General features: G+C 40.3%; 1 protein-coding gene across 8 annotated transcripts in view, besides 3 other annotated features; it reads left to right on the top strand.

Moving 5' to 3' along the window:
- Positions 1 to 13,152, top strand: part of FHIT (fragile histidine triad diadenosine triphosphatase) — a 1,504,176-nt gene that overhangs the window by 57,509 nt on the left and 1,433,515 nt on the right. The window lies entirely within an intron of this gene.
- Positions 11,674 to 11,968: a silencer, noted in NCBI's record as "tiled region #15147; K562 Repressive non-DNase unmatched - State 24:Quies". NCBI's record gives its function as "represses a minimal TATA promoter and a strong SV40 promoter by Sharpr-MPRA in K562 cells {active_cell/tissue: K562}" and the evidence as "EXISTENCE:reporter gene assay evidence [ECO:0000049][PMID:27701403]".
- Positions 11,674 to 11,968: an enhancer, noted in NCBI's record as "tiled region #15147; HepG2 Activating non-DNase unmatched - State 9:DNaseU". NCBI's record gives its function as "activates a minimal TATA promoter and a strong SV40 promoter by Sharpr-MPRA in HepG2 cells {active_cell/tissue: HepG2}" and the evidence as "EXISTENCE:reporter gene assay evidence [ECO:0000049][PMID:27701403]".
- Positions 11,694 to 11,743: an enhancer, noted in NCBI's record as "active region_20021". NCBI's record gives its function as "activates an Ori minimal core promoter by ATAC-STARR-seq in GM12878 lymphoblastoid cells {active_cell/tissue: GM12878}" and the evidence as "EXISTENCE:reporter gene assay evidence [ECO:0000049][PMID:35858748]".

The raw sequence follows: 13,152 nt of genomic DNA, 5'->3' as shown, positions 1-13,152 counted from the left end.
TTCCTTTAGTCTTTGGGTCTTCATTTCGGAAGGCTGCTATGTCACATAAAACTTTGATTAAATACATTTGTTATGCTTTTCTCTTGCTGACCTGTCTTTTGTTATAGGAATGTTGGCTGTGACTCTTGTGAGAGGTGAGGAAAGGTATCACACCTTTCCATCCCTACAGTGGGAACTTGGCCTGGTATTGTGGAATCCTGTGGTTGCTCATGATGTGTCAAATCAACTAAAAATACAAACTGAGTGTGCACTCTGATTTAAAGATTTCATTCTGAAAAATTGTTTTGAATGCTGCATGAATTGCAAGCATGCATACATGCATAACTGGTTACTTTTTTTTTCTCTAAATGTTGGGAAGTTCTAAGTGGTGTTTGGAGTGTCTGCTCACTTAAGGTCATTGATGCAAAAATGCTGCAGGTCTGTTATAGCATAAAACATTTTTAAAAAGGCCCCCTGAACTTTAGTCCACTCTGGTCACCATGAGAGGCTTCTTGTCCATGCATTGTTGGGTAGTCCTGTTGTATCTGTGCAAAGAAGGCTGGGATTTTCGCTGTGGCTTCAAGGCCTTGGTAGTCATTTTCCCAGTATCCCATCACTATCCCGATCAAAAGTCCTGTCACCTCTCTAGAGTTCTGCCAGGAAGCAGGGTGCCAGCGTCCACTACTTTAAGGAACTGCTCCAGCTTCTCTCCAATACCAGGAAAGCCCAATCCTTACTGTACTCCAAGTGCCCACCTAAACAGATCAAAGAACAACACTTTTAAGCAAAACAAAACAACCCAAATTGTCTTTATTTTGGACCTTTCTGCTGGGATGTAACACATTCCCTTCAATGAATTTAGGCTTTTTTGAAAAAGAAAAGTCTTTAATGGAGACTGGATTTAGGGGATTGGTGGTTGTCTTTTAGCATCTTTTGCGTTTGAATATGTCTGGGAGACAAAGGGAAGAAGGCAAAGTCTTGAAGTTTTTGAGATGCGAAAGGGAACAGTATACACAGGAGGGATAACAAAGAGTACAAATTGATATTTTAAAATTATGCTGCCCCTAATTCAACACTGAGACAAGGTGATGCCTCACCATTTGTGTGGTACTTTATGACTCCCATGATAAGTGTCAGATGATCACATGATTAATCCTTTTTCTGGCATCTCAGTTGTCTTTTTTTTTGTAGAGAGAATTCACTGAAGACCCATCATCTAAAGATTTTGGGGAATGTGGGTGGAATTATGAATCTCTGCATCATTTTCTCCTGAGTCTTTGCTCAAAGGAGGCCACATAAATTTGCTGCTAATTATGTGAAGATGGATTTATCACCGAAGATGCCTTTGGCTGCAAATAATCAAAAAGTCAACTTGAAATGGTTCAAACAATAGGGGAATTAAAAGAAAAAAGCTCCCTGCCCTCTGCAAGTCTACCTGCTGCCCCAGGGATGTCATGATTGATGGGAAGGCATTATAGAATCCTGGCTCCAAATGTCTGGAATCTAACTGCAATCCACTTTTGCCAAGCAACTGGGGACCCACCAGGGTGCCTTTGATGGTTGTCACTGTGTAGCAGGGAGAGGATTTTGAGCACTCAGCTATTGACAGATTGCTAAGCACTGTCAATTATTTTGTGAATTGCTCTACCAAGTTACATTTGAAAATCCACCAAATAAAAACCCATCAGAATAAGAGAAATGAATTATCTCAGGGAATAAGACCTCCTGGGAGGGGTGCAGTTTCAAGTTTTGTTAATTCAGTGGCTCAACATTGTTACCAAAGTGTCTATTTCTTGCTCTTTTTCCTGTGCCATCTTCAGTGTGTTGACTTAGTTCTTAGACTGGCTGCCTTCATAGTTCTAAGATGGCTGGTTCCTTTTTGGGAGCTACAGGCAGACATGGCAACATCCACTGGCAAAATAAAATATCTGTTCTTATATGTCCCTTTTTAAAAGCAAGGAACTGTTCCTGTAACCCCTGAGCTGACTTCCCCTTAAGTCTCATTTAGTTGATTGCAGTCCCATGCTCCTTCCTAAATCAGACACTGGCACGCGGAATGGGGCTCATCCCTGGTGGCTTAGATTGGTGCTTCCCAACTTTGTTCTTGTTATGGTGCACATAGAAAATACAATTTGGCCGGCATGTTAAGCAATCAGAAGAGGCTGCTCACAGCTGGAGTGGCTGATGTGTGTGTGTAGGGCATGGGTGTGGGGTCTCTGGCTGCTCTGGGTCTGCCCAGCTGCCCTTGGAGCTAAAGGGATATCAGAGCAGCTGTTAACCCTTTCCCTGTTTTAAACTAATCGGGTTTTATCTCTTTTCTGGGATAATCTCACCTTCCCTTGAGTACATAGCTTTATGGAGGGAGGCCACCCTAATAAAACTGGGGCTTATACTAGTCAGGATTCTTCAGAGAAACAGAACCAAAAGGTTATTTATTGGTTTATTTACTTATTGTGAGGTATTGGCTTATGTGATTCTGGAAGCTGAGAAGTTCCATGATGTGCTGTCTGCAAGCTGGAGACCCAGGAAAGCCGGTGGTGTAATTCAGTCCAAGTCCTAAGGCCTGAGAACCAAGGGAGCCAATGGCATAATCCCAGTCTGAGGGCCGGCAAAGATGAGATCATGTATCCCAGCTCACACAGTGAAGCAGAAACAGGGCAAATTTCTCCATTCTCCTCCTTTTCTTCTGTTCAACAAACTGGGTGATGGCCTTCTGTTTAAATGCTAATCTCACCCAGAAACACCCTCACAGACACATCCAGAAATAATATTTAGTTTGGGCACCCCATGGCCCAGTTGAGTTGACACAGAAAATTAACCAGCACAGGGCTTTACCTGTGAGGTGAAACAGGAAAATTTCTTTTTTTATTTTATTTTTTTTTTATTATACTTTAAGTTTTAGGGTACATGTACGCAATGTGCAGGTTTGTTACATATGTATACATGTGCCATGTTGGTGTGCTGCCCCCATTAACTCGTCATTTAGCATTAGGTGTATCTCCTAATGCTATCCCTCTTCCCTCCCCCCACCCCACAACAAGCCCCAGTGGGTGATGTTCCCCTTCCTGTGTCCATGTGTTCTCATTGTTCAATTCCCAGCTATGAATGAGAACATGCGGTGTTTGGTGTTTTGTCCTTGTGATAGTTTGCTGAGAATGATGGTTTCCAGCTTCATCCATGTCCCTACAAAGGACATGAACTCATCATTTTTTATGGCTGCATAGTATTCCATGGTGTATATATGCCACATTTTCTTAATCCAGTCAATCATTGTTGGGCATTTGGGTCGGTTCCAAGTCTTTGCTATTGTGAATAGTGCCACAATAAACATACGTATGCATGTGTCTTTATAGCAGCATGATTTATAATCCTTTTAGTATATACCCAGTAATGAGATGGCTGGGTCAAATGGTAATTCTAGTTCTAGATCCCTGAGGAATCACCACACTGACTTCCACAATGGTTGAACTAGTTTACAGTCCCACCAACAGTGTAACAGTGTTCCTATTTCTCCACATCCTCTCTAGCACCTGTTGTTTCCTGACTTTTTAATGATCGCCATGCTACCTGGTGTGAGATGGTATCTCATTGTGGTTTTGATTTGCATGTCTCTGATGGCCAGTGATGATGAGCATTTTTTCATGTGTCTTTTGGCTGCATAAATGTCTTCTTTTGAGAAGTGTCTGTTCATATCCTTCACCCACTTGTTGATGGGGTTGTTTTTTTCTTGTAAATTTGTTTGAGTTCATTGTAGATTTGGCATATTAGCCCTTTGTCAGATGAGTAGATTGCAAAAATTTTCTCCCATTCTGTAGGTTGCCTGTTCACTCTGATGGTAGTTTCTTTTGCTGTGCAGAAGTGCTTTAGTTTAATTAGATCCCATTTGTCAATTTTGTCTTTTGTTGCCATTGCTTTTGGTGTTTTAGACATGAAGTCCTTGCCCATGCCTATGTCCTGAATGGTATTGCCTAGGTTTTCTTCTAGGGTTTTTATGGTTTTAGGTCTAACATTTAAGTCTTTAATCCATCTTGAATTAACTTTTGTATAAGGTGTAAGGAAGGGATCCAGTTTCAGCTTTCTACATATGGCTAGCCAGTTTTCCCAGCACCATTTATTAAATAGGGAATCCTTTCCCCATTGCTTGTTTTTCTCAGGTTTGTCAAAGATCAGATAGTTGTAGATATGTGGCATTATTTCTGAGGGCTCTGTTCTGTTCCATTGATCTATGTCTCTGTTTTGGTACCAGTACCATGCTGTTTTGGTTACTGTAGCCTTGTAGTATAGTTTGAAGTCAGGTAGCGTGATGCCTCCAGCTTTGTTCTTTTGGCTTAGGATTGACTTGGTGATGCGGGGTCGTTTTTGGTTCCATATGAACTTTAAAGTAGTTTATTCCAATTCTGTGAAGAAAGTCATTGGTAGCTTGATGGGGATGGCATTGAATCTACAAATTACCTTGGGCAGTATGGCCATTTTCACCATATTGATTCTTCCTACCCATGGGCATGGAATGTTCTTCCATTTGTTTGTATCCTCTTTTATTTCACTGAGCAGTGGTTTGTAGTTCTCCTTCAAGAGGTCCTTCCCATCTCTTGTAAGTTGGATTCCTAGGTATTTTATTCTCTTTGAAGCAATTGTGAATGGGAGTTCACTCATGATTTGGCTCTCTGTTTGTCTGTTATTGGTGTATAAGAATGCTTGTGATTTTTGCACGTTGATTTTGTATCCTGAGACTTAGCCGAAGTTACCTATCAGCTTAAGGAGATTTTGGGCTGAGACGTTGGGATTTTCTAGATATACATTCATGTCATCGGCAAACAGGGACAGTTTGACTTCCTCTTTTCCTAATTCAATACCCTTTATTTCCTTCTCCTGCCTGATCGCCCTGGCCAGAAATTCCAACACTGTGTTGAATAGGAGTGGTAAGAGAGGGCATCCCTGTCTTGTGCCAGTTTTCAAAGGGAATGCTTCCAGTTTTTGCCCATTCAGTATGATATTGACTGTGGGTTTGTCATAGATAGCTCTTATTATTTTGAGATATGTCCCATCAATACCTCATTTTTTGAGAGTTTTTAGCATGAAGGGTTGTTGAATTTTGTCAAAGGCCTTTTCTGCATCTATTGAGATAATCATGTGGTTTTTGTCTTTGGTTCTGTTTATATGCTGGATTACATTTATTGATTTGAGTGTATTGAACCAGCCTTGTATCCCAGGGATGAAGCCCACTTGATCATGGTGGATAAGCTTTTTGATGTGCTGCTGGATTCGGTTTGCCAGTATTTTATTGAGGATTTTTGCATCAATGTTCATCAAGGATATTGGTCTAAAATTCTCTTTTTTTGTTGTGTCTCTGCCCAGCTTTGGTATCAGGATGATGCTGGCCTCATAAAATGAGTTAGGGAGGATTCCCTCTTTTTCTATTGATTGGAATAGTTTCAGAAGGACTGGTACTAGCTCCTCCTTGTACCTCTGGTAGAATTCAGCTGTGAATCCCTCTGGTCCTGGACTTTTTTTGGTTGGTAAGCTATTACTTATTGCCTCAATTTCAGAGCCTGTTTTTGGTCTATTCAGAGATTCAACTTCTTTCTGGTTTAGTCTTGGGAGGTTGTATGTGTCCGGGAATTTATCAAATTCTTCTAGATTTTCTAGTTTATTTGCATAGAGGTGTTTATAGTATTCTCTGATGGTAGTTTGTATTTCCGTGGGATCGGTGGTGATATCCCCTTTATCATTTTTTACTGCATCTATTTGATTCTTCTCTCTTTTCTTCTTTATTAGTCTTGCTAGCGGTCTATCAATTTTGTTGATCTTTTCAAAAAACCAGCTCCTGGATTCATTAATTTTTCGAAGGGTTTTTTGTGTCTCTATTTCCTTCAGTTCTGCTCTGGTCTTAGTTATTGCTTGCCTTCTGCTAGCTTTTGAATGTGTTTGCTCTTGCTTCTCTAGTTCTTTAATTTGTGATGTTAGGGTGTCAATTTTAGATCTTTTCTGCTTTGTCTTATGGGCATTTAGTGCTGTAAATTTCCCTCTCCACACTGCTTTGAATGTGTCCCAGAGATTCTGGTATGTTGTGTCTTTGTTCTCATTGGTTTCAAAGAACATCTTTATTTCTACCTTCATTTCGTGATGTACTCAGTAGTCACTCAGGAGCAGGTTGTTCAGTTTCCATGTAATTGAGCGGTTTTGAGTGAGTTTCTTAATCCTCAGTTCTAGTTTGATTGCACTGTGGTCTGAGAGACAGTTTCTTCTAATTTCTGTTCTTTTACATTTGCTGAGGAGAGCTTTACTTCCAACTATGTGGTCAATTTTGGAATAGGTGTGGTGTGGTTCTGAAAAGAATGTATATTCTGTTGATTTGGGATGGAGAGTTCTGTAGATGTCTATTAGGTCCGCTTGCTGCAGAGCTGAGTTCAATTCCTGGATATCCTTGTTAACTTTCTGTCTCGTTGATCTGTGTGATGTTGACAGTGGGTTTTTAAAGTCTCCCATTATTATTGTGTGGGAGTCTAAATCTCTTTATAGGTCTCTAAGGGCTTGCTTTATGAATCTGGGTGCTCCTGTATTGGGTGCATATATATTTAGGATAGTTAGCTCTTCTTGTTGAATTCATCCCTTTACCATGGTGTAATGGCCTTCTTTGTCAAAGAGGGAAATTTCTGTGTGACAGGCCCTCAGCAGTGTCTGCTGTGTCTATGTTCTTGTCTTTGCATATGTACCTAATCTCCTTTTTGAATCATTAGTTCCTTAGTTCCTTATCAAGAAAGGACTAAGCCTTGCAGATTTCAAGTGCTCAATCATTATTTGTATATTGAGTGAATGAATATGCACTCACCTACATGACTGACTGATGCATTCAATACTATTGATCTTCTGTAATATGCTAGGAATGTGCTGTGTGAGGTACAAGGAACATGGGTCGGGCAGATTATTTTATGCCCTAGGGAAGGAGACAGATCAGAACTAGTAAACCAACAAAGCATATACAATTAAAAGTTATGTAAATCTTATTTAGGAAACATCAAGAGGCAAAACATAGCAGGCCTCCTCATTTGGAGCGGTCAGAGTTAATGACGTTTAAGTTAAGATCTGAAAAGAAGGACAGGAGGAGGGATTCAGCTTGTAAGGAGTGGGTGAAGAGAGTTCAGAGTTCTGAATCTTGCAACTATGTCTTAGAGATAATTTGTTTTCAAGAACCAATACAAAAGAAACAGTGACAAAAACGATGAAAGGTGAGGCTTCTACAAGGCCACAGGATAGCTTACTCATTTGACAAAAGGTTAGATGGTGAGCTTCCTGAAGCCTTAGGCCAGGAAGTGGTTGACCCTCAAAAACTAACCAGAGTGGGATGGGTAAATGGACAAACATATCTCTCAGCATCCCATCCTAAAGAGCAGGAGACTGTCTCAGGATCCTCATAGCCTCTCACCTCTTCTGTCTGCAGACTGGCTTCTTTGCATATCCAGCCAGCTATGGCTACCCGTGCAACTCCCTGTGCCTCATTCAAGGGGATGATAGAGACTAACTGTATTCCTCCTTCCTGGGGGAAAGAATCTGAATGGTTTGATGTAGGTCAGGCGCCCACCCTTGCCAGAGTCACCTGTGGCCCAGGGCACAAGGTCTACCTGGTTAGCTGCCGTCTTAATTCTACTTAATCTTGCTTGGCAGGACTGGGAGAGACTCTCTGGGTAAGTGGAGTACAGGGCAGGCAGCTGGATTAATGCCCCTGTTATTAATAAATGCTGCTTTTCAAGTTCTTCAACTTTAATAACACTGGAAGAGTCCCAGTGATGTAAATAACTTAGTTACCACCTGGTTTATTTTTGAGTACTTATACCCGCTACAGGGCATTGTGTACAGCAGATGCTTAAGAAGTAGTGATGGTGATAATAACAAAATTGAATGTGAAATATGATGTAGTTCTTTCCTAATGGTGCAGGTTAATTATATTGTTTTAATGAAAATGCTTCTTTGTTTTGTGGATAAAAATCTTTTTTGTAAGGTTCAGTCTATGTCTTTATTTTTTTCTTTAACTCCTGCATTTTGAGAATCACAGTCTATATATTTAAATCACTTTAGAATTACTTTATTACTATTATAAAAGTAATGCATTTGCATTTTAGAATATTTGGAAACCAGTTCAGCTAAGAGAAGAAAATAGAAATTGTGTATAATCCTACAGCCCAGAGATGACTCCAAGTGACATTTCTGGGTGTTTTTTTCCCAGTTAGTTCTTTATGTGGGCATGTATTTTAAGAAAATGGCACATACTGCTTTTTCCATTCAACATTATATTGTGAACATTAAGAATTATCCTACTGCATCCTCATCTCCTGCTGCAGTGTGTTCTCTCATGTGGATAGAAAGTACCGAAGTGGATGTACAGATTTGAAAAGCACCTCTGCTGCTGAATGGGATCCTTAGGCTGGGATGGATTGGAATGCTGACCCTGAGGTTTGTGTAGCAGTATAGATACTGCCTGACTGACTTCAGGAAGAGCAGTGTGATTGTGGAATTTGGTCAGAAATTAAGTTCGTATGATGATGATCACTTGTGTCTGCTTGGCCACTGCTTTCCTGAGGATAATCTGAATGAAGCTCATTGACTATTTTGCAAGGAGGTTGGCTCAGCTTGAGCATCCCTGTAAGGAAAATAATCAGTGTCTCCCTCAGGGTTCTGGGAAGCTTCTTTGCTGCTCAGGTCGAGGTGGCCTCTGCAGTCTGTGCTTGCTTCTCCTGATAAAGCAAATTGCAAGCATGCCAAATTGCTTTGCTCCGGCTTAACCCTACTCCAGAATGAATCCATAAATGCTACAAAAGGAAAGCTTATGAACATATGCTACACAGAACTTAGAAAATGTCCTGCCTACTTAATCCTTTTCCTACTTCGTGGGGGGGAAAAAGTCTATTTATACTTGAACTGAGAATTGAGGGATCACAAAAGTGAAGATTGGATGCCGTGCTAGAAATCACCAGTTGTGTTTTCTCATTTCCCTTAGAGCCACAGATTGATTTTTCAATACAACTGTGTCAGTAGGGAAATGTGCCGTTCTTTCTAGAGTTCTTAGATTCACTCCTAAGTATGTGAATGTGTCTAACTGCCTTTTGAGAAAATGTGAGATCCCTTGTTTAAACACAGCGTGTTCATTAGAGTGGATTCTGAGGTCTAGAGGCCACCTCTTGAAGTCACTGCCTCTCACCTTCTCTCATGACTCTACATTTAGATGCTTGTAGATGGAGAAGGGCACTTCTCTGCTTGTGTGTTCTTGGACAGATTATTCCATGGAGAGATGTGTGGAATCACAATAGATGTGAGCTAGCTCAGAGGGTTGGGAACTTGCCCTGGCACTTAGAATGCATGCTGGCCCTTCTGGTTCAAGATGATTCCCCTGCAAAATAGTTGGTCTTTTTCCTTGCTGGCATATTTGTTCACAGACATCCGCAGAAGCTGTTCTGGAAAACTTTCTGACCCTGAAGCACCTCAAAAATTTTGATCCCGTGCTCCTTGCTGTGAGTCATCCCACACTGGAGCTCTGGAGGACTCTCTAGCAGGTCAGCTTTGGTTGGCTTCAGCCTCCCCATCTCAAGGAAGTCAGTGCAGTTTTCCTGCCTGTGTCTTATTTAATATATGTCTGTATCCTCTGGCTGTCTTGGAATGGGGGTCTAAGGGGCCATTCAGTTTGACACCAGAGGCACTGTCTGTGTATAGCCAGTCATAATGAATAACTGTAAACATGAGTAGATGCCTGCCCAAAGGGGATGTTAGCCGAGAGGTGTGTGAATCTGCTTGGAGGGGCAACAGCTGAAATGTCAGAGTAGTTTACTATCTCCTGGGTAGAGACACTGGGGGAATATTCTCTGTCTGAAAAATATTATAGGCATCAGGTCCCAGATTTCTCTTCCTGTGGCTGCACGTGCTCATCTTTCTGATTTAGAAACTAGCGAAGCTCCGTCAGTATTACAAGTATAGGAGATTCAGACTGAGAAAGAAGTAAAAAATGGAGGGCGCTTCAAAATGGAAATGAATTGTGGTCATCACCAACCCAGGATACATTTGAGAAGGAGCATTTATGAACAACAGTTGCCCATGATGCTTTGCCCATTAATGCCACCGAGACCTGCTAACCTGCTCCATTTTCTTTGTAAACGTGAAAAACCCTGATGCTGGCAAACAGGGAAGTCATGAGGACAGCAGAATGAAAGCATGTGGTGTGACATTGTGGACCATTATTCCATTGATATTTATCATGGCATTGTGATCTGGTCCAAAAATGTAGCTGGCTTTTTGGCTTTTGATATACTACAGTCACTTTTCTTGAAATCTCTCATTTAATCTTTATCACAATTCATGGGGCAGATATTGTTCTTCAATATTTAACAAGTAAGGGAACAGATGTTCAGAGAGGTTAGGTAAGTTGACCAAGATTGCACAGTTTGTAACAAGGAGGCATTTTAAGAGAGAGAGTGCAGCAAATCTTTTGATCAGGCAAGGGGAGAAGAACCTGTCATTTCTCTGAAAAGGCAGCAGGATGCTAATGAATTTGTGCTGTGTTCCCTGATAACTTTAGATGAGGTTGGGATAATTTGGGGATATACCTTAGGTAAGCAGGTGCTTCTTTCTGCAAAGCTGATCTGTTTTCATTCATTCATTCACTTGTGGTTGATTCATTCAGAGTCACTTACTCGCTTTTTCTATAAATTGGGCACTTGTTTTGCTGAGAGCTAGGTATTAAGAGCAATAGAAAGATGATGAGAGAATTGAGAATCTGATTGGAGAGAAGGATACCCAGAGAGAGCTAGAACATAACGGCACTCTGTGGCAAGTATGGCAAGAAGCAACAGAATTCAGGAGCATGTTCCAGGAGTCCTTGGAGTGACCTCTACTACTGTGTCTCCCCACATTGGGAATCCCAGTTAGTATTCCAGAAATCTGTATCTCAGCACAGGGACTGGCATTTGTTTTGCACTGTCAGCCACAATGAAGAGACCTATTAACAGCATGTGATTTCTTTGTGATGGATAATTTGTGAGCTCAGATGTGGATGTCTAAAAGAGATGGTGCATAGAAGTAGAAGGGCCTTCAAATCAAACAGTACAGAGGACTTCCTCTATGACACATTCAGGGACAGCCCCAGATATAAATAATCATGAAGTGGGCTACTGTCTGCTCTTTTGTACCCTTACTTCTCATAGCTTGTGACATCCAACCCCACCCCCCATACCCCCTATCCTGAATACATGCTCCTTCAGGTTCTCAGGGCCCTGCCTACCTCTTTTGGTGGTCCCTCAACCTTTAATCTCATTAATAGGACAGGATGGAGGGGTGTTGAGAATTCTATCATTCATTTACTCTCTAGTATGAATTTAAACCAGTTTGTTACAGTATTCCATGTGGTACATGAGATGAGATGAATGAATACATTTTTGGTTAGTCACATGAAATCTTTTCAGTTTCCTTCTATTTATGGCAAGTGATATTGGCTATATACAATATGTATACCAGTGACATTGGATATTTACAGTGGGGATATAAAATTGTCTTCTTCAAAAAGGTAATTTAGACTGGCAGAATTGAGTTGATTTAAAGAGAAATGTTGTATTAATATAGAACACTGGCTCATAGATATTATACAAATCATGAAAGGAGTATGTAAATAACTGAACTTTTGGAACAGTTGTGTCATTTTATCTGGTTATGTAGGCATTTCATACTTTAACCGTGGAATACAATGTTTTCTATCCTAATAAGAGAATTTAATTGATCAAGGTGGGGAGAGCATTTCTGAAATCCTCTTCAGAGATGGCCACCTGCCCATCAGGACTGTGATTCACCCATGTTACCCATGACTCATACCACACCAAGCTTTCTCTTTCAGTTAATGGTTACACTTCAGAGAAAGTTATTTCCCCTTCAGAGTATCCGATTTCACATGACTATGGAGCATGTAGCCCCAGGATCCTTTCTCATTAAATGCTTATGTTGGCATGGACTAATTCTGGTTAGAGTATTTAAACCAGACTTGGTATGTCCAGTAGCCAGAAAGAATAGTAACAGTCATCTAACCATACACTTATAGAACAGAAATGTAATAGAATAAATAGAATATTTATTTCATGTATGAAAAATAATACTAGAATCTATTCCTGAACCATTTTTTCTAAGGGATAGGAAAAATTGTCAAAACAAAGAGAGATTTTTCTCCAAGAATAGTAATTAGGCTAGGAAAGAGACATGTTACTGCAATTATAAGTGGGCCCTATGTGGCAAGATTCAGGGGCTTGCTAGCATTAGACGACTTGGACTACATGGTAGATTTTTTTGGTCTTTGGGTCTGTCTTTAGGCAGAGCCAGGAGAGGGAACCCAGGGAATATCAGAGCAGCCTGTGATGCTGGAATTAAATGAAACTTGTTAGTATTCTGGACATGACAGGCCAGGTGACATCCTGGGCTCTCTTCAGCCCTGTGATTCTGGATGACTGTTTTTTTCCCCACCAGTTCCATAATATATTTGTTTGTGTGCTTCCTTCAAGTACCAGAAGGAACACCCATTCTTAGAGGTCTGTTGTATTGTCTTTTCCTAAATACAGTGGAGGGATATTACTACACAAAGTTAATTTTTCATCCTTCTTGTAGATACAAATATTGATGTTTTCACAGTATATATTTGTATATTTATTTGCTATAGCCTCTTGATTGTTGATAATCAAGAGACAGGAAAAATATAATGTTACTATTATTGCCATTATTGGTCATTACTTGGCTGGGATTTTATCCAGTTTGGGAGCTAAATTCTTCTTTCCGTTGACAAAGAACAATTAATTGACTTCAGATAATTTAGGCTTCTCATGTCCCCAATATGTGATTTGTCAAGCTAAGAATATTACTTTAACTTCATTATGTTTACTTTCCTTGTATTTGGTATGAGTGAGGGAAAATAATCCAAACATTTGAATTCCTTGTCTTTATTTTTTAGTCGAAAAAGCAACGGAGATAAATGTACTTGAAATGCATATATTTAATAAAAATATTAAATTGATAATTTAAAGGAACTCAGGCCTAAAATGATTACTATCATTAACTATGCCCCACTCCACATAAAGATTGACTGGTAAAGCAAATCATTAAGCAGTTCCCATGCTCTTTCTATAATTTGGCTAGGTGCTGGGCATATACATATAT

This window comes from Homo sapiens, chromosome 3 (genome assembly GCF_000001405.40).
Source record: "Homo sapiens chromosome 3, GRCh38.p14 Primary Assembly".
Taxonomy (NCBI): domain Eukaryota; kingdom Metazoa; phylum Chordata; class Mammalia; order Primates; family Hominidae; genus Homo; species Homo sapiens.
The sequence above is the reverse complement of the archived record's forward strand: the minus strand, read 5'-3'. Positions and strand labels throughout refer to the sequence as shown.